The 20591-nt window shown below is 40.5% G+C and overlaps 1 protein-coding gene and 1 pseudogene across 4 annotated transcripts in view, besides 4 other annotated features; one reads left to right on the top strand and one right to left on the bottom strand.

Annotated features, from left to right (window-relative positions):
• ZNF782 (zinc finger protein 782) overlaps positions 1 to 20591 on the top strand; it is a 117643-nt gene that overhangs the window by 58354 nt on the left and 38698 nt on the right. The window contains exons 2-3 of one of the 3 annotated variants that reach the window (XM_047422870.1): positions 13850 to 13925; positions 15039 to 15212. The exons of the other annotated variants lie outside the window; for them this stretch is intronic. The gene's annotated coding sequence lies outside the window, so the exon portion shown is untranslated. The remainder of the gene's footprint in view (positions 1 to 13849; positions 13926 to 15038; positions 15213 to 20591) is intronic. 3 annotated transcript variants of the gene reach the window in all.
• Positions 320 to 1519: an enhancer, noted in NCBI's record as "P300/CBP strongly-dependent group 1 enhancer chr9:99636216-99637415 (GRCh37/hg19 assembly coordinates)". NCBI's record gives its function as "activates an origin of replication core promoter dependent on BRD2, BRD4, P300/CBP, MED14 and CDK7 cofactors, with strong dependence on P300/CBP, by STARR-seq in HCT116 cells {active_cell/tissue: HCT116}" and the evidence as "EXISTENCE:reporter gene assay evidence [ECO:0000049][PMID:35650434]".
• Positions 1875 to 1944: an enhancer, noted in NCBI's record as "active region_28655". NCBI's record gives its function as "activates an Ori minimal core promoter by ATAC-STARR-seq in GM12878 lymphoblastoid cells {active_cell/tissue: GM12878}" and the evidence as "EXISTENCE:reporter gene assay evidence [ECO:0000049][PMID:35858748]".
• LOC100132781 (cyclin Y like 1 pseudogene) lies at positions 3225 to 6553 on the bottom strand (annotated as a pseudogene). Its single transcript, NR_038890.1, has 2 exons — positions 6391 to 6553; positions 3225 to 5199 (listed from the first exon to the last, which is right to left on the bottom strand). The product of NR_038890.1 is annotated as a cyclin Y like 1 pseudogene (transcript).
• Positions 15292 to 15586: a silencer, noted in NCBI's record as "tiled region #3853; K562 Repressive non-DNase unmatched - State 23:Low". NCBI's record gives its function as "represses a minimal TATA promoter and a strong SV40 promoter by Sharpr-MPRA in K562 cells {active_cell/tissue: K562}" and the evidence as "EXISTENCE:reporter gene assay evidence [ECO:0000049][PMID:27701403]".
• Positions 15292 to 15586: an enhancer, noted in NCBI's record as "tiled region #3853; HepG2 Activating DNase matched - State 22:ReprW". NCBI's record gives its function as "activates a minimal TATA promoter and a strong SV40 promoter by Sharpr-MPRA in HepG2 cells {active_cell/tissue: HepG2}" and the evidence as "EXISTENCE:reporter gene assay evidence [ECO:0000049][PMID:27701403]".

Here is a 20591-nt window from a genome sequence, read left to right as displayed (position 1 = left end):
GGGCGGGAACCGGGTAAGAGGTTTCTCGCCTGAAAATGAGGGTGTTAATGCCTGCTTCATGGCGTTGTTTTGAAACTTAGGTAAATCATACACTTGGCTGTAAAGCAAACAGCCAAGTGCAGTTACTAAACCCTGAGTAAGTGACAGCTGCTATTGTATTTAGAAGACACTTTGTTCTTTTCATTGGATGACTCACCTAAACCTCACAAGTACTCTATGAGGCCGGCATAACCGTCTGCATTAAAAATAACAACCGAGGTTCAGGTTGGAGGAACAGTGCGCCCACGTCACAAGCTAGCAGTGAGGAAATTTAGGTTCAAGGGCAGGTGTGATTTATTTCCGGTCTCAGGTGCTGTCGAATATCACACCTGCCTAAAACCAGCCCTGCGGTCTTTACAGCACTGAGCAAAGTGACATGACCCAAAATACACAGGGAAATAATGGGAAGTGAATGTGGGTAGAACCTTACCTTGTGTCAGATATATTTTAGGCTTTCTGGTAGTGTCTGGTCAGATCCGTTGGGTCACACGAAGGCGCCTAGCCACTCTGGCACTACCAAGCTGTCTATGTTTTCAGTCCAATGTATTGAATTCCAGAGGGCCAGGTTTGTGTCCCTAAAATTTGTTTCCCAGGCCCTGGTCCCAGCTCCCAAGAAATAATTTCACTGTAGAGCAAAGCAGCTCTTGTGAATTAGGAAGCAGGGGGCCACTGGGAACAGGAATCTTTCCTAGAAAGAGAACACCCCTCTGACCTTACCACTCTCCAGAGCTTCCCAGCAGAGGCAGAAAAGCCCAGACAGGACGGAGCATAGCCAGAAACAGTGCTTGATCCACCCGCCAGAATGAGCTGGATCTGGTGATGTCATTATCTCCAGAAACCACTAGAGTCTGTGACAGTGGAATGCCTGGACCAGCTTTGAGAAGACCAAGGGGAGACAGGAGGCCACTTCAAAGGAGAGCTTGTGGGGAGGTCTAGGGGTAAGAGGTAAGCAGGCAGAGGGTGGAAATCCTGTTTCCTCCATCTCTAAACAACTCCCACTCTTGAAAGACACTGCACTGCTCTCACACCTGTCCATAACCACGTGACACTAGTCACGCTAGTCTTGATATCTTAACCTCACAGAATTCCACCGTGATGGTTCACGAAAGGTGTTTATGGTCATCTACTTGTGACTCATTTGAAACCATTAAGAGATTGGACCTCAGAGTGTCCATGAATTATCCAGACCCACTTAGTTTGTGTCAGATCCACGAGTCAAACACAGTGCCATTTAGTCCGTCACAGGTCCAGGTCATCCATGTTTTAGTAGCTTGTTCTTTTGTATTGATGGGTAGTGATCTATTGTCTTTTCCTTGTAATGAAGAGGTAAAAGTTTTAGTTCACACAATACCAGAGTTAAAAATTTCACTGGTGTCTGTATTACAAAAGTGGAAATAACCCTAAAAATGAAAGTAAATTTGAGCTTTGGTAGTCAGATAATCTTTTTCATAGTCTTGTGTTAGACAACAAATCTTTCCCAGATATCAAACTCTAAGAAAACTGCCATAGTTACCACCCTACTAGAAACTTAGTTTCCATACCCCAAACATTTGTCAGAGAACCTGCCCACTTTCAGTCACGTTTATATTCTTATTCTAAATTGACCCAATTTTCCATGTATCAAAATGACTGTATTGCCTTCTAGAATTCAAGCCAAAGGGGAGAGCAATGTTAGTGGTCCTTATTCTACTGACTTACTCTTTTGTGTGTGTGTGTGAGACAAGGTCTCGCTCTGTCACCCAGGGTGGAGCGCAGGCATGCTCACTGCTCACTGCAACGTCTGCCTCCCAGGCTCAAGCGACTTTCATGAATCAGCCTCCCAAGGAGCTAGGAACATCGGCAGATGCCACCAAGCTTGGCTAATTTTTGTATTTTTAGTAGAGATGGGGTTTTGCTACCTTGGCCAGGCTGGTGTTGAACTGCTGGACTCAAGTAATCTGCCCACCTCACCCTCCCAAAGTGCTGGCATTACAGGCATGAGCCACCACACCTGGCCCTGACTTACTCTTGAAGTCATGGATTTATGTCCAGTGCCCCTCTCCCAAACTAGTTTTTTAAACCTTTGACCACTCATGTATGTCAGGATCTCTACTTAGTTATTGCATATTACATGGTGCAAAGCATCTTATAAACAGGGATTCATGATAGACTTTTTCTTCTAAATCAGATCACTGATTCTAGTCTGCAGTTTATCAAGATGAGGTGATGAGTTATTTAAAGATTTTACCTTAGGTACTAAAGAATTAAAGTAGATGAAAATATACCAATATTATTAGGATTTAGTGAGAATCACTGAAGCTAAGTGGCTAGACTCTTAGTTCTAAAAAAAAAAAACTAACAGTGATTTGATATATTTTTAACTAAAAGGTAAGCTTGAAAGCAGTGTGCTAAAGTCAAATTATGTGGTCTGAGCCACCCTCTGTACAACAACTTTAATTCTACTTTCTGTACTTCCACTTTTTTTCTGTGTAACTGTTTGAAAACCTCAAACACCCTTGTTCTAATTCTACACTATTCCTGGGAATCCTTTCTCTTTGGTGTATTGACCTAATTTTATATTCTAACATGCTTTTTCCTCTCAGACACAATAACCAACTATTCAAAGATGCCATCTAATACGCTATGCCACTAAGTATTGTGGCCAGAGAGTGATTTTAAGTGTAATAAATTATCTTAAAATTGAAAAGAGCTTAAGCCAGAAAAAACAAATATTATGTCTTACATAGAGGCATGGATTAAACCAATTTGTGAATAGTCCAGGCAACTTATAAAAATGCTTTAAGACATATCAAGACTGACTTGAATCATTTAAGTTACGCAGAGATGTAACACTATGTGAATAGAAGAGTTAAAAACATACTAGTCACAATTTTTTTTTTTTTTGAGACAGAGTCTCACTCTGTCGCCCAGGCTGGAGTGCAGTGGCGCGATCTTGGCTCACTGCAACCTCCGCCCCTCAGGTTCAAGCAATTCTCCTGCCTCAGCCTCCAAAGTAGCTGGGATTACAGGTGTGTGCCACCACACCCAGCTAATTTCTGTATTTTTAGTAGAGATGAGGTTTCACCACGTTGACCAGGCTGGTCTTGAACTCCCGACCTTCTGAACTACCTGCCTTGGCCTCCCAAAGTGCTAGGATTACAGGTGTGAGCCACTGTGCTCGGCCCACTAGTCACATTTTAATTAAAAGTTTATTAGGTTTTCTTTTAATGTAAACATGAGAAATAAAAACCACATAAATTGTAGCATTTACCTTTTGAAAATAAAACTGCAGTCAATACTTCAATCTCTAAGCTCTGCACTCCATAAATGATAATTTTTTTAGGAGGTAAGGTTCCTAAGGTTTATGGACATAAAATATGATACCTGCCTCCAGGTTAACATGCGGGATAATAAAATGTATTAGATCATCTACTACTATTAAGGTCCAGTTCCTTCAAATTTGTTACATGTGCATTAAAACTGATCCTATTCTGTATCACATCTAGAGAAAATAATTTTGGGTGATCAATGCAGATGAAAGCCCTGCAAAGAACTACTTCAAAAGAGAAAAGGGCACTTTATAAAAATACAACAATTCCAAAAGGCTTAGTGTAATTTTAAGCTTTGATACTTGTAGAAGTATCAATGCTACAAATATTTACAAAGCATCACTGAAAGGTTTGTTATATTTCTTTTACCTTTATTTAGTTTTGCCATTTTTTAGAGTGACAGGGTCTCAGTATGTTGCCAAGGCTGGAGTGCAATGGCTATTTCCAGGCACAATCACAGCGCACTGCAGCCTCCAATGCTAGGCCTCAAGTGATCCTGCCATTTAAGCCTTATGAGTAGCTGGGACTACAGGCATGCCTAGCTCCTGAATATTAACCTTTAATTTTTTGTTTCAGTCCTTCTTGACGATAGCAGATATTGATGAGACAAAAAGTTAAATGCTTAATATTCAAATTCTGCAAAATGAAGCCAGAGGTGGTGGTACACACCTATAGTCCCAGCTGCTTGGTAGGCTGACATGGGAGGATTGCTTGAGGCCAGGATTTCCAGGCTGTGGTATGCTATGACTGTGCCTCTGAATAATCATTGCACTGTACATTGGGTAACATACTGAGACAACATCTATTTAAAAAAAAAAAGAAGAAATACAATTAAAATTTCAAATTATATTTTGTAAAGGTTTATAGCCTGCATATGTATGCTTCAGTGCTCTGGAGGGCACAAGCATACTATGTTAAAGCTAAAAACTGTCCTGAAACTTTCAGGACACCTCATGTTTTATCATTTTTTATTACCACTGGATCACCATGTTGCTTGGCACTATGAAAACATCTTTTAATACCTTTATTTAAAAAATAAGAAAATTTATCAGCAAATGAGAACCATTATAGTTCACAAGAAATACACCACAGACCCTAATAAAAGTAGATAATCAATAACCAATATTTTCTCTTTTTATGACCCCAAACATGCTAACTGCTAATAAGAAGTGCTTACAGAGGATATGAATGGCAAATGTTATCCAGAAGCTTTTGCTTAAAATGATTGCCAGTAACTAGTAGCTTCGATTCTAAGAGTAGGAAGGAAGAGCCCCTTCAGTACCTGACAATGCTGCATCTGCTCCTAGTGGCTTTATGAGTTGTTAAGAGTCCTATGTTTTAATGGTAATATGATGCTAAATGCATATGCAGCAATATTGGGGGAAAGAAAAATATAAAAGAAACAGAAAAGTTATCTTTAAAATCTAAAAATTTAAACCATTGTTTTAAACCCTTACATAGTTCACTGCTATCAGCTCACATAGGAGCCTTCACTTTGGAGTGGTTTTTATAACTCTCTTTACATTAAAAGGGACAGAAGAGTGTAAGAGTGTGTTGTTGCATTGACAAGGTCCCATTCTTTTCTATGAAGTGCAATCCTAGTTGTCCTTGAGTTAACTTGAATTGTAGGTGTTTCTTCTTTTGAAAGTACTTTTCTAGTTCTTCAGCAGGAAAGGTGATATTTTCCTGTCTTTTTTGATGAGGGGTTCAGATGTTATATAACCCCTCACTTCTTCCTTCAGGAGAGGATGGCCTTAAGGCACTGAAGATCAATTAAATCATCAGAACTCAAAGACCTTTTCCTTTTGTTGGCAGTACCATAGAAGTCTTTGTCTTCCAACCTTGAAACAACCTAAGAAAGACAATCAAATAGAAAAGAGGTACAATTTCAAAAAGGATTCCAACCTGTAACAATCACCATTGATGATAAGCCACACATGCAGACTCCCTTAGATAGTTCAGTAACAGCTATTTTGGCTGAGGTTTACAATGCCAAGTTCTGTCAACTCTCTAAGGTAGTCTCCTTTAAGGGCTATAATTAGATTGCTGGAGCAAAGGGGGAACTTGTTTTATTAAGTTATTTAAAAATTGGGCTCCTAAAGATGTCACAGTATTGTGACAGTCTTCTAACAGCAGTATCATCTGTTACCTGTGCACTTGTTCCTTAAACATAATGAATGCACACTTTTGCAAAAGTTAGTTTATGAATGTATTCAAATTCTACCCAATCTGTAGTAGTTATTATATACTCAAAGCAAATTTTAATGAAGCAGGTATGTGCTGGACTGCATTGGAATGTCAAATAAGTCTAATGACTAAAGCATCAAAAGGTGTTACTTCACTTGGACATTAATTATGGTAGAAAATGTATTATTTCAAAATACTTCCCAGCTACTACCGAAAATGCCTATTTTAAATGTTCATCCATGTCAGTTGTGAGTAATTTTGCTGTGTACTCACCGAAAGTCACAAACCATAAATATTACTTTGCCCCATAAAAGTTATCATTTCCGGTAGAATCCCATGTACTTCCTGCATCCAGTACTTGAGACACACATACCTTATACAGTCTAAGTGCAGGTCTCTTGGCTTAGGCACTAATGCTTTGTCTAACAAACTCATGGGACTCACTGCACTGTGGTATATTACAGTAGAAAATGATATAAATTTGCAAACTAAATGATAACAAATAGTAAAGAATGTTAAGTGCATTATATATGTAGATATTAGGAATACAACTGCAAGAAATCACTTATGTATGATTATTTGAAAGGGTAGCAGTTCAAAAGGAAAACCATTAAGGATGAATTAAACTTGATTAAAATATTCTGAATTATGGTTACAGAAGAGATGATATCTATAACTTTTAAATAATGTGAATCTTTGTATAAACCATAAACTACATGCCAAAAAGGTTAATAAGCTCTTCAGTATGTTAATTTTGAAGCTTTTCATTTTTCTAATCACTTCTTAATATGATCTAGTTGCAGATGTTGGCATTGGTGTTTGACTGAAAGCCCACTTAGTACCTTCATAGCCTTACCTTCAGTTCCCATGCTCTTTCTATGTCAAGAAGACAAAATGGCAAATATAGGCTACTGTCGTGTGCCAAGGCGCAAAGGTCAAAGTAGCATTTGGTATAAACACTGCCAGGAACATCGACATCATTATTAATGAAGTGGGAGAACTGGTTTCCCAACTCAAGCCTGGGGAAGGAGAAACACAACAAAACCAACACAGGACAATGTTAGTCAACTGGGCTATCTTCAAAAACATTATTCTCATGTAAGAAATGTGGTAAAGCCGTCATATGCTCTAGTTTATTAGAACACATAAAAGAACTCACACTGTACAGAACCCTATCGATGAAAGAAACACAAGAAAGCATTCAACTTTCCCAGTTCTCTTTGAAAACTTAGAAAAACTTGTATTGGAAAAAATAATGAATGTAAAAAACGTGTTAATGAACTTGATTTTCCCACATCTTTTCAAAGGCATAGTTGAATTTTAATACGTAGAAAAACTACATAATCTTAAGAAACATAGTCAAGCCTTCAGCTTTTTCATTTCTTTGAAAACATGAAAGGATTCAAGGGAGAAAACCCTTATAAATACAAACATGTGGTAGGGTCGTCAGTTGTTCCAGTTCCACATGAAGACAAGAACTCGTTTCTGAAATAAAACCTATGAATGTATAGAATGCAGAAATGCCTTCATTTACGTGATATTTGCTCCAAGACCTATGATAACACACATTGTAGACTGGCCTTATAAATATAAGAAAGCACACTGGATTGGAACTCCAGTAGACTACAAAATACAGGAAAGTTTTCAGTTTTAATGATTTCTTCAAAATTTATGTGAAAACTCCCCCTACAGGGAAATCCTATCAGTATTCCTAAATTGGAAAGCCTGATGCAAATTGATTATTGTATAATCTTCAAAAATGCACATAAGTAAATCTTATACTACTTATGAATATTTTGTGTTTCTCAGCGATTCTTTGAGAGAGTCTCTCTACTTATTTCCACTTCTTTTGCAAGAAAACATCGAGGTTAGAATTTTGTAGATACTCTCTAAACAATACTATATGAGTTTAATAGGCAGTGTTTTTTTGTTAAGTCAGTTAATAAAATTTTTCTCCATTTATTTAAAAATATCACAGTGAGCTACTAGAATGGCTCTAAATTCTGCTTTGAAACAAATGAAGGCTATGCAGTTGGATTCCTACACTAATGTCCAAACAGGACACAGCTGCTTGCAGTCCATTCTGCATCCAGCACCCCAAGTTTGGGACAAGCAGAAAGGTGACAGCCTCTAATGCACCCATGCTGATGATATAGGGCTCATTCTTCAGAGTTCCCTTAGTGCAGCTGCACAACTCAGACTCCATGCTCACTCACAGAGCACCACAATAGTGATCAGATGAGAGAAACGGTGGATGCCATTTACTAGTCGTCACTATTACAGGGCAGTAAAACTCTTTAAACTTAGGAAAGCGGAAAGATCAAAGAGAGACATCTTGGCTAGACTAAACCCGTTTTATGATATGCCTTTTGGTAGGGTGTTGGACTTGCACAGTGTATTAGTCTGTTTTCATGCTGCTGATAAAGCATTTATGCTGATAAAGCATAAATACCCGAGACAGGGCAATTTACAAAAGAAAGAGGTTTACTGGATTCACAGTTCCACATGGCTGGGGAGGCCTCACAATCACGGCAGAAGGCAAGAAGGAGCAAGTCATGTCTTATGTGGATGGCAGCAGGCAGAGAAAAGCTTGTATAGGGAAACTCCTTATAATACTGTCAGATCTCATGAGACTTATTCACTATCACAAGAACAGCATGGGAAAGACCTGCCTCTATTATTCAATTACTTCCCACCAGGTCCCTCCCACAACACGTGGAAATTCAAGATGAGATTTGGGTGTGAACACAGCCAAACCATATCATTCTGTCCTGGTCCCTCCCAAATCTCATGTCCTCACATTTCAAAACCAATCATGCCTTCCCAACAGTTCCCTAAAGTCTTAACTCATTTCAGCATTAACTCACAAGTCCACAGTCCAAAGTCTCATCTGAGACAAGGCAAGTCCCTTCTGCCTATCAGCCTGTAAAATCCAAAGCAAATTAGTTACTTCCTAGATACAATGGGGGTACAGGCATTGGATAAATACAGTCATTCCAAATGGGAGAAATTGGCCAAAACAAAGGGGCTACAGGCCCCAGGCAAGTCCGAAATCCAGCAGGGCAGTCAAATCTTAAAGCTCCAGAGTGATCTCCTTTGACTCCATGTCTCACATCCAGGTCTTGCTGATGCAAGACATGGGTTCCCATGGTTTGGGCAGCTCTGCCCTTGTGGCTTTGCAGGGTATAACCCCCCCTCCTAGCTGCCTTCATGGGCTGGCATTGAGTGGGGTTTTTCCAGGCACACGGTGCAGGCTGTCAGTGGATCTACCATTCTGGGGTCTGAAGGATGGTGGCCCTCTTCTCATAGCTCCACAAGGCGGTGCCCAGGTAGCGACTCTGTATGGGGGCTCCGACCCCACATTTCCCTTCCACACTGCCCTAGCAGAGGTTCTCCATGAGGGCCCCACCCCAGCAGCAAACTTTTGCTTGGTCATCCAGGCCTTTCCATACATCTTCTGAAATCTAGGTGGAGGTTCCCAAACTTCAATTCTTGACTTCTGTGCACCTGCAGGCTCGACACCACATAAAAGCTTCCAAGGCTTGGGGCTTCCACCCTCTGAAGCAACAGCCCAAGCTGTATTTTGGCCCCTTTTAGTCATGGCAGGAGCAGCTGGGACACAGGGCGCCAAGTTCCTAGACTGCACACAGCTGAGGAACCCCGGGCACAGCCCACAAAACAATTTTTCCTCTTAAACCTCCAGGCCTGTGATGGGAGGGGCTGCCACAAAGGTCTCTGACATGCCCTGGAGACATTTTCCCTGTTGTCTTGGTGACTTACATTTGGCTCCTCATTACTTATGCAAATTTCTGCAGGTGGCTTGAATTTCTCCTCAGAAAATGGGATTTTCTTTTCTATCACATTGTCAGGCTGCAAATTTTCCAAACTTTTATGCTCTGTGTCCCTTTTAAAACAGAATGCCTTTAGCAACACCCAAGACACATCTTGAATGCTTTGCTGCTTGGAAGTTTCTTCTGCCAGATACCCTAAATCATTTCTCTCAAGTTCAAAGTTCCAGAAATCTCTAGGGTGGGGCGAAAATACTGCCAGTCTCTTTGCTAAAACATAACAAGAGTCACTTTTGCTCCAGTTCCCAACAAGTTCCTCATCTCCATCTGAGACCACCTCAGCCTGGATTGTCCATATCATTATCAACATTTTGGTCAAAGCCGTTAAAGAAGTCTCTAGAGAGTTCCAAACGTTCCCATATTTTCCTGTCTTCTTCTGAGTCCTCCAAACTGTTCCAACCTCTGCCTGTTACCCAGTTCCAAAGTTGCTTCCATATTTTCGGGTTTCTTTTCAGTAGCACCCCACTCTACTGGTATCAATTTACTGTATTAGTCTGTTTTCACACTGCTGATGAAGACATACCCAAGACTGGTCAATTTACAAAAGAAAGAGGTTTATTGGACTTACAGTTCCACATGGCTGGGGAGACCTCACAATCACTGCAAAAGGCAAGGAGGAGCAAGTCATGTCTTACAAGGATGGCAGCAGGCAAACAGACGAGCTTGTGTAGGGAAACTCCCTCTTATAATACCATCAGATCTCATGAGACTTATTCACTATCATGAGAACAACACAGGAAAGACCTGTCTCCATTATTCAGTTAACTCCCACTGGGTCCCTCCCATAACATGTGGGAATTCAAGATGAGATTTGGGTGGGACACAGCCAAACCATACCACACAATGTTTCTCCCGAGTTGGAAATGAAACTCTAAGGTGTTCAGCATCTGTCACCCTGGTCAGAAGAGAATGTGGGGATGAGTTGAATGCACTGAGAGAAGAACAGGCTGGGAGCAGCCCTCTACCACATGATTATTCAGCTGCCCTGGCCAAAGGTGTTTTCTCATTTTTTTTTTAAATTTTAAGAGACAGGGTCTTGCTCTGTCACCCAGGCTAAAGTGCAGTGGCATGATCCTAGCTCACAGCAGACTCAAACTCCCAGCCTCAAGTGATCCATTCACCTAAGCCTTTCAAGTAGCTGGGACTACAGGCTCATGTCACTGAGCTGGGATTTTTTTTTTTTTTTTTTTTTTAGTTCTTTTTGTGGAGATAGGGTCTCACTTTTTGCCCAGGCTGGCCTTAAACTCCTGTGATCAAGTGATACTCCCACCTTGGCCTCCCAAAGTGCTAGTATTACAGACATGAGCCACTGTATCCAGCACTTTGTCAAATGTTTAAATAAATATAAAACTAGAGTAATCTTACCACTTTCACAGTAATTCCTTACTGTGAAATTAAGTAAAGACTTAATTGTATAAAAATAATCAATACCTGAACAACACATTTGGTTTCTTGGTTTTAAAATTTTAATGTTTTATCCACTGGCTAAGTCAACAAATGCTTGATGTTCTCTGGTATGAAGAGTAGTTAAGATATAAGCAGATATGTTGTTTTCTCATTTGTTTAACTGAAAACCTGACTAAATCTCCTTCCAGCATTAATTTCTTATTCATATAACCATAAGGCTATAGAAATGTAAGTCAGATAATGTTTTAATAATCAGCTAATCAGGACTTAATTTACTATAGGAATATATGCACTTCATAAACTCTTTTATGTTTTTCCAAAAACATATTTTAATTGTGTAAAATATAGTGTTTTATAGAATCATCATGTTTATTAATAGAGGCTTAGTTATCGAAGAAAACCATTATGCCTACAGATATATCTTCTCAGTTTTTGTTGTTTTTTAAATGGCTGAATAGCATACCCTTTACAGGAACAGCAAATTTTCTGAATAGGAGCTGCTCAGTTTGAATTAAATGTGTATATATATATAAAATATATATATATACGTTTTATATATTTATATATAAACAAATATATGTGTGTGTATGTATGTGTATATGTACATATGCATATATATATATTTGTTTACCAATAATGGTTTTTAATTTTATTTCAATAGTTTTTGAGGTACAGGTGGTTTTTGCTTACATGGATAAGTTGTTTAGGGATGATTTAGGAGCTTCTGGTGCACCTACCACCTGAGCAGTGTACACTGTACCCAATATGTAATCTTTTATCCTTCAACCCCCTCCCGACCTTCCTCCCCAAGTCCCCAAAGTCCACTATATCATTCTTATGCCTTTGCATCCTCATAGCTTAGCTCCCACCTATAAGTGAGAACATATGATATTTGGTTTTCCATTCCTGAGTTACTTCACTTTGAATAATGGCCGCCAGCTCCATCCAAGTTGCTGCAAAGGCCATTATTTCATTCCATTTTATGGCTCAGCAGTATTCCGTGGTGCATATATTCTATATTTTCTTTTGCTCACCATTAATTGATGGGCATTTAGGCTGACTCCATATTTTTGCAATTGCAAATTGTGCTGCTATTAGCATGCTTGTGCATGTGTCTTTTTCATAACTTATTTTCCTTTGGGTAGATACCCAGTAGTGAGAGATTGCTGGGTTGAATAGCAGTTCTACTTTTAGTTCTTCAAAGAATCCCCACACCGTTTTCCATAGTGGTTGTACTAGTTCACATTCCCATCAGCAGTGTAAAAGTGTTCCCTTTTCACCAAATCCAAGCCAACATGTATTTTTTTTTTTTTATTTTTAAATTATGGCCATTCCTGCAGGAGCAAGGTCGTATCACATTGTGGTTTTCGTTTGCATTTCCCTGATAATTAGTAATGTTCCTGAAAGAAAATATATTCTAAAAAGACAAATAGATGTCAAAAAGTTTTAAGAAAAATCTGATAGACGCTAATTTTTAAATGGTTCAATTTACAGTCAAAAAGAGACCATTATAAATAATCAACAGAGGGACAAGATAAATGTATGTTAAGTACTTTGTTGTAATGTTTTTCAATTTCCAAAGATCATGAACATTGCTACTGTTTGGAGCATAGTTCCTGGTGCTTCTGCGTTCACAAATAGCATTGTGTAGAACTGGGCATCTTGGAGCTGGCCTCTGCCACCACTGCTTCTGGAGCTCACATCTATGGAAACCTGCACATTTCCCTGTGTATTTTCTGACCTTGTAACTAGAGCTAGAGCCACCCACCGCCGCCAGATTAGTTGCAGGTTTTGAGAACAATTTAGCTGCCATTATAGCAGAGCTAAGTGTTCATAATTATGAATTTTGCTTCCTTCAAGAAACCAGTTTATACAGTGACGAAAACTGTAGTGATTAAAGGCACACTAGCTTCTTCAACTTTCAAAGTACACCTATTTGTTTCAAATTCATTTGCTGTTATGTCCTTTGCTAAAATGGCTATTAGCAATATCACCATGACAACTCAGTTTATATACTATTAGCAAAGTGGTAATTTAGCAGCCATTTCAACAGAAACAAACCATCACTAGTCTCTTCTTAGTCACAAGAAGCCTCGCTTCACTTGTAAATATACAGTGTGGTAATTCTGAATGACAGTCTTCTAAAAAATTTGTTGGTACACTGTAGGTGTATGTATTTATGGGGTATATAAAATATTTTGATACAGGCCTACAATGTGTAACTGTAGGGTAAATGAAGTATCCATCACACCTCAAGCATTTATCCTTTGTTTTACAAATAATTCAATTATACTATTTTAGGCACTATAAAATGTACGATTAAATAATTATTGACAGTAGTCAACCTGTTTTGCTATCAAATACTGGACCTTATTTATTCTTTCTAACTATGTGTGTGTGCCTATTAACCATTACTCTTTACCCCCCATCCCCCATACTACCTTTACTAGCCTCTGCCAACAATTCTACTTTAGCTCCCACAAATAAGTGAAAACATGTGAAGTTTGTCTTTCTTGCTTCGCTTATTTCACTTAACATTTCCATCCATGTTGCTGCAAATAACAGGATCTCATTCTCTTTTATGGTTGAATAGTAAGTACTCCATTGTGTATATGTACATTTTCTTTGGCTACTCATCTGTTGATGGACACTCGGGATGCTTCCAAATCTTGGCTGTTGTGAACAGTGCTGCAATATCCATGAGAGTGCAAGTATCTCTTTGATAATACTGATTTCCTTTCTCTTAGGTATATACCCAGCAGTGGGATTGCTGGATCATATGGTAGCTCTATTTTTAGTTTTGAGAACCTCCAAACTGTTCTCTATAGTGGTTGTACTAAATTACATTCCCACTAACAGTGTACGATGGTTACCTCTTCTCTATATCCTCACCAGCATTTGCTATTGCCTGTCTTTTGAATAAAAGCCATTTTAAATGGGGTGAGATGATCCCTCACTGTAATTTTGATTTGCATTTCTCTGACAATCAATGATGTTGATGTTGAGTATCTTTTCATATACCTATTTCCCATGTGTATGCCTTTTTTATTTTTGAAACAGGATCTCACTTTGTCACTCAGGTTGGAGTGCAGTGGCACAATCACAGTTCATTGCAGCCTCAACCTCCTGGGCTCAGGTAATTTTTGCCCTTAATTCTCCCAAACAGCTGAAACTACAGGCACATGCCCCCATGCCTTGCTAATGTGTCTTCTTTTGAGAAATGTGTATTCAGATATTTTGCCCATTTTAAAAATCAGATGATTAGATTTTTTTCTACTGAGTTATTTAAGCTTCTTAAACATTCTGGTAATTAATCCCTTGTCAGATAGTTTTCAAATATCTTCCCCCATTCTGTGGGTTGTCTCTTCACTTTGCTGATTGTTTCTTTTGCTGTGCAGAAGCTTTTTAACTTGATGTGACCCAATTTGCCCATTTTTGCTTTGGCTGCCTGTGCTTATAAAATATTATTCAAGAAATATTTGCCCAGTCCAATATCCTGGAGAGTTTTCCCAATGTTTTATTTTAGTTTTATATTTGAGGTCTTTGATTTAAATCTTTTTTAAAATTTTTTTTTTAAGAAATAGAGACAGAAACTCACTGTGTTTCCCAGGCTGGTCTTGAACTTCTGGGCTCAAGCAATCCTCCTCTCTCAGCCTCCCAAAGTGCTGGGATTACAGGCGTGAGCCTCTGCACCAGCCAAGATTTAAATCTTTAATCCACTTTGATTTTATGTTTGCATAAGATGAGAAATAGAGGTCTAGTTTCATTCTTCTGCATATGGATATCCAGTTTTCCCAGCACCACTTATTGGCGAGACTGTCATTTCCCCATTGTATGTTCTCGGCACCTTTGTTGAAAATGAGTTCACTGCAGATGTATGAATCGGTTTCTGGGTTTTCTATTCTGTTCCATTGGTCTATGTGTCTGTTTTTATGCCAGTGCCATGCTGTTCTGGTTACCATAGCTGTACGGTATAATTTGAAATAAGATAATGTGATTCCTCCAGTTTTGTTTGTTTTTTGCTCAGGGTAGCTTTGGATATTCTGAGTCTTTTGTAGTTGTATATACATTTTAGGATTCATTTTTAAATTTCTATTTCTGTGAAGAATGTCATTGGTTTTTGCAGACTTGTGGAGGCACCACATTGGTGGTCTTGGATCAGACCTGGAGGAATTGTCTGGATTAGCAGGCAGAGACTGACTTCTTCCCTTACTTTCCCACAAATGAAGTCTCTCTCTCTTTGTGCTAGGCTGCCTGGAGTTGGGAGAGGAGCAATACAACACCCCTGTAGCCACCACCACTGGGACAGCACTGGGTCAGACCTGAAGCCGGCACAGCGCTGTGACTGCCCAAGACCCCCACTGTAACAACAACCCAGCTGCCACCTATTTCACTCAAGGCCCCAGGGCTCTCCAATTAGCAGGTAGTGAAGCCAGCCAGGCTTCTGTCCTTCCCTTCAGTGCAGTAAGCTCCCCTGGTCCCTAGATGCATTCAAAGGTGCTGTCTGAGAGCCAGGGCTCTCAGTCATAAACCTTATAAATCTACCTGGTGTTCTGTTCTACCATCGCTGAGCTGGCACTGAATCCACCCGGCAAATCCCTTCCCACTCTCCCCTCCCCTCTCCCCAGGCAGGGTAGTCTGTTCCCACCTACGACGTCATCACAGTCTCATGCGGATTACTGCCAGCTCACCACTGATGTTCACTTAATGCCTCAGGGCTCTCAGTCAGCTTGTGGTGAATGCTGTCTGGCCTGGAACTCACTCTTCAGGACAGTGGGCTCCCCTCTGGCCCAGGCTAAGTCCAGAGATGCCATCTAAGAGCCAAGGCCTGAATCAGGGACTCCAACAGTCCACTGGGTGCTCTTCTCCACTGTAGCTGAGCTGGTGTCTAAGCTCCAGAAAAATCCTCTTTACTCTGCCTTCGGCTTTTCTCAAGCAGAGGGAGTCTCTCCTCACAGACACCACAGCTGGGAATGTGCGGGGTCACACCTGATGCCAGCACATCTCTGAGTCTCACTCGAGGCCCATGGCATGTACTACCTGGTTACCACTGCTGATTATTCAAGGCCCAAGGGCTCTTTAGTCAGATAGTGAAGAATCCTGCCATTACTGAGTCCTTCCCTTCAAGGAAGCAGGTTCCCTTGTAGCCCAGAGTTTGTCTAGAGATGTTATCCCAAAGCTGAGACCTGAAAGGGGGGTCTCATGACTCTGACCAGTGCCCCCTCCTACTGTAAGCTAGTATCCAAGATGCAAGACAAAGTCCTCTCCTCTCTCCTCTCCTCAAGCGGAAGAAAGAGGTCTCTGTCAGAGCTGCGAGCTGCACTGTCTAGGGTTGGAGGAGGGGTGGGCAAGCACTCCATAGCTGCCCTAGCTGCTGTTTCTCTAGGTCACATGCCCCCAAATACACTGGCTCCAAGCGCGGCACAGCACTAGGACTTGCCTAAGAGTTGCAGTCCTTGTGGCTTAGACAGCCTTTCAGGTTTATTAAGGACCCCGAGTACTTTATCCTGCAGTAGCCAGGCTTTCCACAACTCAAGTTCCAACCACTGGGATAAACAATTCCCTTCTGGCTAGCACTAGTGTAAATGTTTCCTCTGTGGGTGGGCACTAGTGTAAATGTTCCCTCCGTGGGTGGGCACTAGTGTAAATGTTCCCTCCGTGGGTGGGCACTAGTGTAAATGTTTCCTCCGTGGGTGGAGGCATCAGATGAGTGCAACCTTGTTTTGCTTTCTGCTACAACAAGGCAGCACTGAGTTCAGTGCAAAGTCCCACAGCTGCTGTGCTCTCCCTCCGCCAAGCACGGACTCTCTCCTCACCACAGGTCCACTGCTGAGGCTATTCCTGTGGGGAGCACAGCTGGCAGAGATTTCTACTTAGCCATCAGGCTCCACTTCTGTGGCTGCATACATTCTGAATGACAGTCTTACCTACAGGCAAATGTAAAACAAACAAACAAACAAACAAAACCTCGCGCCACTGCCTGTCACGATCTTGATCTTCATATGAGGTGTTCCTTCATATTTTCCTAAGCGTCACCCACAAAGCCATTCTCACTGTCCAGTGGGCACTCTGAGAGCCTTTGCTAAAAATGCCTCCCTGGCTCACCCTGCCTACCAGCTCCAAGGCCCTTCCCTTTACAGCAGTCATGAGGCCAGACTGGAAGAAAGACCCCATGAAGCTCATGTTTCTGTGTCCAGTTGGTGCCATCTGTGAGCAACCCCCTGACTCAGCAAGATTTATTGCACTCTCATAGGTAACTCAAGGACCCCAAAGTGCTGTTGTGGTTGTATGAGTGCCCTAGGAAGCTCTTGAGTGAGGTGAGCATTGGGTGATGTCCAGCAATGCAATGTTTCTCAGACTGCCTGAGGAGAGCTTCTAACTCATCAGCCCAATCTCTAAACACAGGCAACACTCCTGGGGGAGGGGATAGGGGCACAGGGATCTGTGGCTATTCTGTATGTCAAGGTTTCTATAAAACAGATCTTCAGATAAAGGCAGCGGAAACACCAGCAAGAGCAAATGCACAATGTATGACTCAGGGTGAAGCTACACATTTTTCACAGTCTAGAGGCCCTAGACCTGTCAGCGGCCAATTATTTCAAAGGCCAGACATGTGCACCTTAAAGAGAGACTGGAACTTGCAGACGGCCTCTAGAAAGCCATAAAGATATTTACTGTACTATTATGTTCTGGTAGTATACTTGGAAGATAACTGCCAAAAATCACCAGAAAAATACTTTTCAATTTATGAGCAGATTATTACAAGAGCAATTTACCAAGACCTACCAATGAACAATGAAAACTATGAACTGTTATTCTAAAGCTAATAGAAAGATGTGGTTTTCATGTCCATTTCCATCATCTGCACAATGTAACCTTTAAAAATATTTCTTAAAGTGTTAAGTTTATGGGAGCAAAAAAATATTGAAAAATTATCAGAAAGTTCACAAAAACCTTACAAACTCACATGTCATCAGATTAAATGTTCTCAGAGAGCCTGCAGTTTTTCACACTCCCTGCAACCTCATGGTCATCGCTCCACAGCAAGATAAATGGGTGACAAGACAATCCTCTTCTAGTTTGGTTGGACAAATGTCAATATCAGCATAACTTTCAAGTCTTTCTATGTAAATCTGCAAAATAGAGCACTGGCCTTTGATTTAGCTTAGTTTGAGTGCTGTAATAAGAACTCTTAGGAATGACAGGTTTCTTCTGGTTTTGACCAGAAAGTAAGTGCCTTTTATTCTTATGTTCTACAGAGACTTTGCTTGATCAGGCAGAGCAAGAGGCCATATCACAATCATAGGTCAGATACTTCTGCTACCTACTGTGCCCATAGAAATGTACAGCCCAGTTTTAGTCACAAGAATGATGGTCATCTCAGCCAAGGGCATCATGAAAAGAGGCAGTGTTGTCACCTTCACACTCATAAAAGGCAGCACACACACAGGCCCAGTGTGGATTTAAAGTCATTCAGTAAATCCTCAAGTGCCTACCACATGTAATGTCTGACACCTAGCTGGTAGGCAGATGGGAACTTTACAAGTACGTCAAGCTTGAATATGTAAAACCCATGTGATAGTGAGCAAATGTTAATCTTTTCACAAAAACTTACCCTTCTATATAGGGCACTAGCTTAAAAAACTGCGGTCAAGAGAGCCCCCCAGTGGCTGCTGTGCAGAGCAGCATGGCAGGCGCAGGTCTCTGAGGTTGTAAAACATTCCCCATAGTCAGTTGTTGGCTTGATAAGGAATGCACGTGTATAAAGAATGGTCCTTCTTACAGCCCCTATTTTTCACATCTTCATGATCACATCATAAAAATTGTTCTGTCTTACATCATCTGCAACTTAGACAATTCTGTTGGTTTTAAGGTGGAAACAGCTGCCAGTCTATGTATCCCTGGGATTCCTCTAACCCTGCTAAGCAGGGTTACTCATGAATTACTTTACATCTATCAATCATCTGTCCTACAAAGAACTGGGCAAACCTTCTTGGAAGGCCAGAAGGTTTTGCAAAAGCTTTAGGAAAGGGTTATGGCTGAAGGCAGCCTGATCCTCTTACCTTGAGTTAATAGTAAAAAGCAAATAACAAGGGAATGTAGAGGAGTTTATCTAAATAGCTTGTTTTCTCATTGTTGTCCTAAGACTGACCTTTGATCATTCGCATGCAGGACTGCTCTCTCTGGGGAGGGCGGGAGAAAGGGAGCAGAATCTCTGTAAAATGTGATGTTCAATAACCATTTGTTTTTGAAAACATTTTTGAGGTTGGTAGCTTAGATCTGGCAATGTTCTCCCATCTAATAACCATCAGACAAGAAATAAACTTGCTTAGAATAAACTTTTTTCCTTTTGTTTTGATTTAAAGAGTTCAAGTAGCTCATGGATATACTCTTCTGCAGAGCACCCTCTGAGGTAACAACACCTCGCAGCTCACCTTTAATCTTTACTCAGCTGTTCACTTTGCCCAGAGAGTGGGAGAAAATCTTCACAATCTATATATCTGACAAAGGACTAATATCCAGAATCTACTACGAACTCAAACAAATCAATCTCATCAAAGAAAAAAAACAAACAATCCCATCAAAAAGTGGGCTAAGGACATGAATAGACAATTCTCAAAAAAGATATACAAATGGCCAACAAACATATGAAAAAATGCTCAACATCACTAATGATAAGAGAAATCCAAATCAAAACCACCTTACTCCTGCAAGAATGGCCATAATCAAAAAATCAAAAAATAGTTGATGCTGGCATGGCTGCAGTGAACAGGGAAAACTTCTACACTGCCGGTGGGAATGTAAACTAGTACAACCACAATGGAAAACAGTGTGGAGATTCTTTAAAGAACTAAAAGTAGAACTACCATTGGATCCAGCAATCCCACTACTGGGTATCTACCCAGAGGAAAAGAAGTCATTATATGAAAAAGATACTTGCACATGCATGGTTATAGCAGCACAATTTGCGATTGCAAAAACGTGGAACCAACCCAAATACCCATCAATCAACAACTGGATAAAGAAACTGTGGTATGTATCTGATGATATACTACTTAGCCATAAAAAGGAATGAATTAATGGCATTTGCAGCGACCTGAATGAGATTGGAGACTATTATTCTAAGTGAAGTAACTCAGGAGTGGAAAAACCAAACATCGTAGTTCTCACTCATAAGTGGGAGCTAAGCTATGAGAATGCAAAGGCATAAGAATAACACAATGGGCTTTGGGGACTTGGCGGGGAATGGCGGAGGGCAGCGGGGCAAGGGATAAAAGACTACAAATGGGGTGCAGTGTATACTGCTCAGGTGATGGGTGCACCAAAATCTCACAAATCGCCACTAAAGAACTTACTCATGTAACCAAACACCATCTGTTCCCCAATAACCTACGGAAATAAAAAACAATCAGCAAAAAGCAAGAAAATTCGTTAATGCGCATGGAAACCTAAGATAATTAACATTAAATTTAAATATGTTGAATCAATAAGAGAATTCGGCAAGAAGCAATGTTAAGGGATAAAAACCAAAAGCTTTTCTCTAACACCTGCAGCACCGGGCTCGACCCGCCTTAGAACCCTCACGCCTGGGGGCGCCAGGACAGGGCTCACAGGTCAATGGGTCGGGTAGGCTGTAAAGAGACAAGGTGGAGGTTCCAGGTTGAAAATGTATAAAATTGTAAAGTAAATTCAAAGTTATATCATTTCAATGCTAAATACTTCAGTAGTGATCCCTTTTTTTAAAAAAAAAATTTCTACAAAATTCTTAATTTTTTTTCACAGTTCACAAAAGTAATGGTAC

This window comes from Homo sapiens, chromosome 9, assembly GCF_000001405.40.
Source record: "Homo sapiens chromosome 9, GRCh38.p14 Primary Assembly".
Classification (NCBI taxonomy): domain Eukaryota; kingdom Metazoa; phylum Chordata; class Mammalia; order Primates; family Hominidae; genus Homo; species Homo sapiens.
Note: the sequence above shows the minus strand (reverse complement) of the source record. Positions and strands in the feature narration are given on the sequence as shown.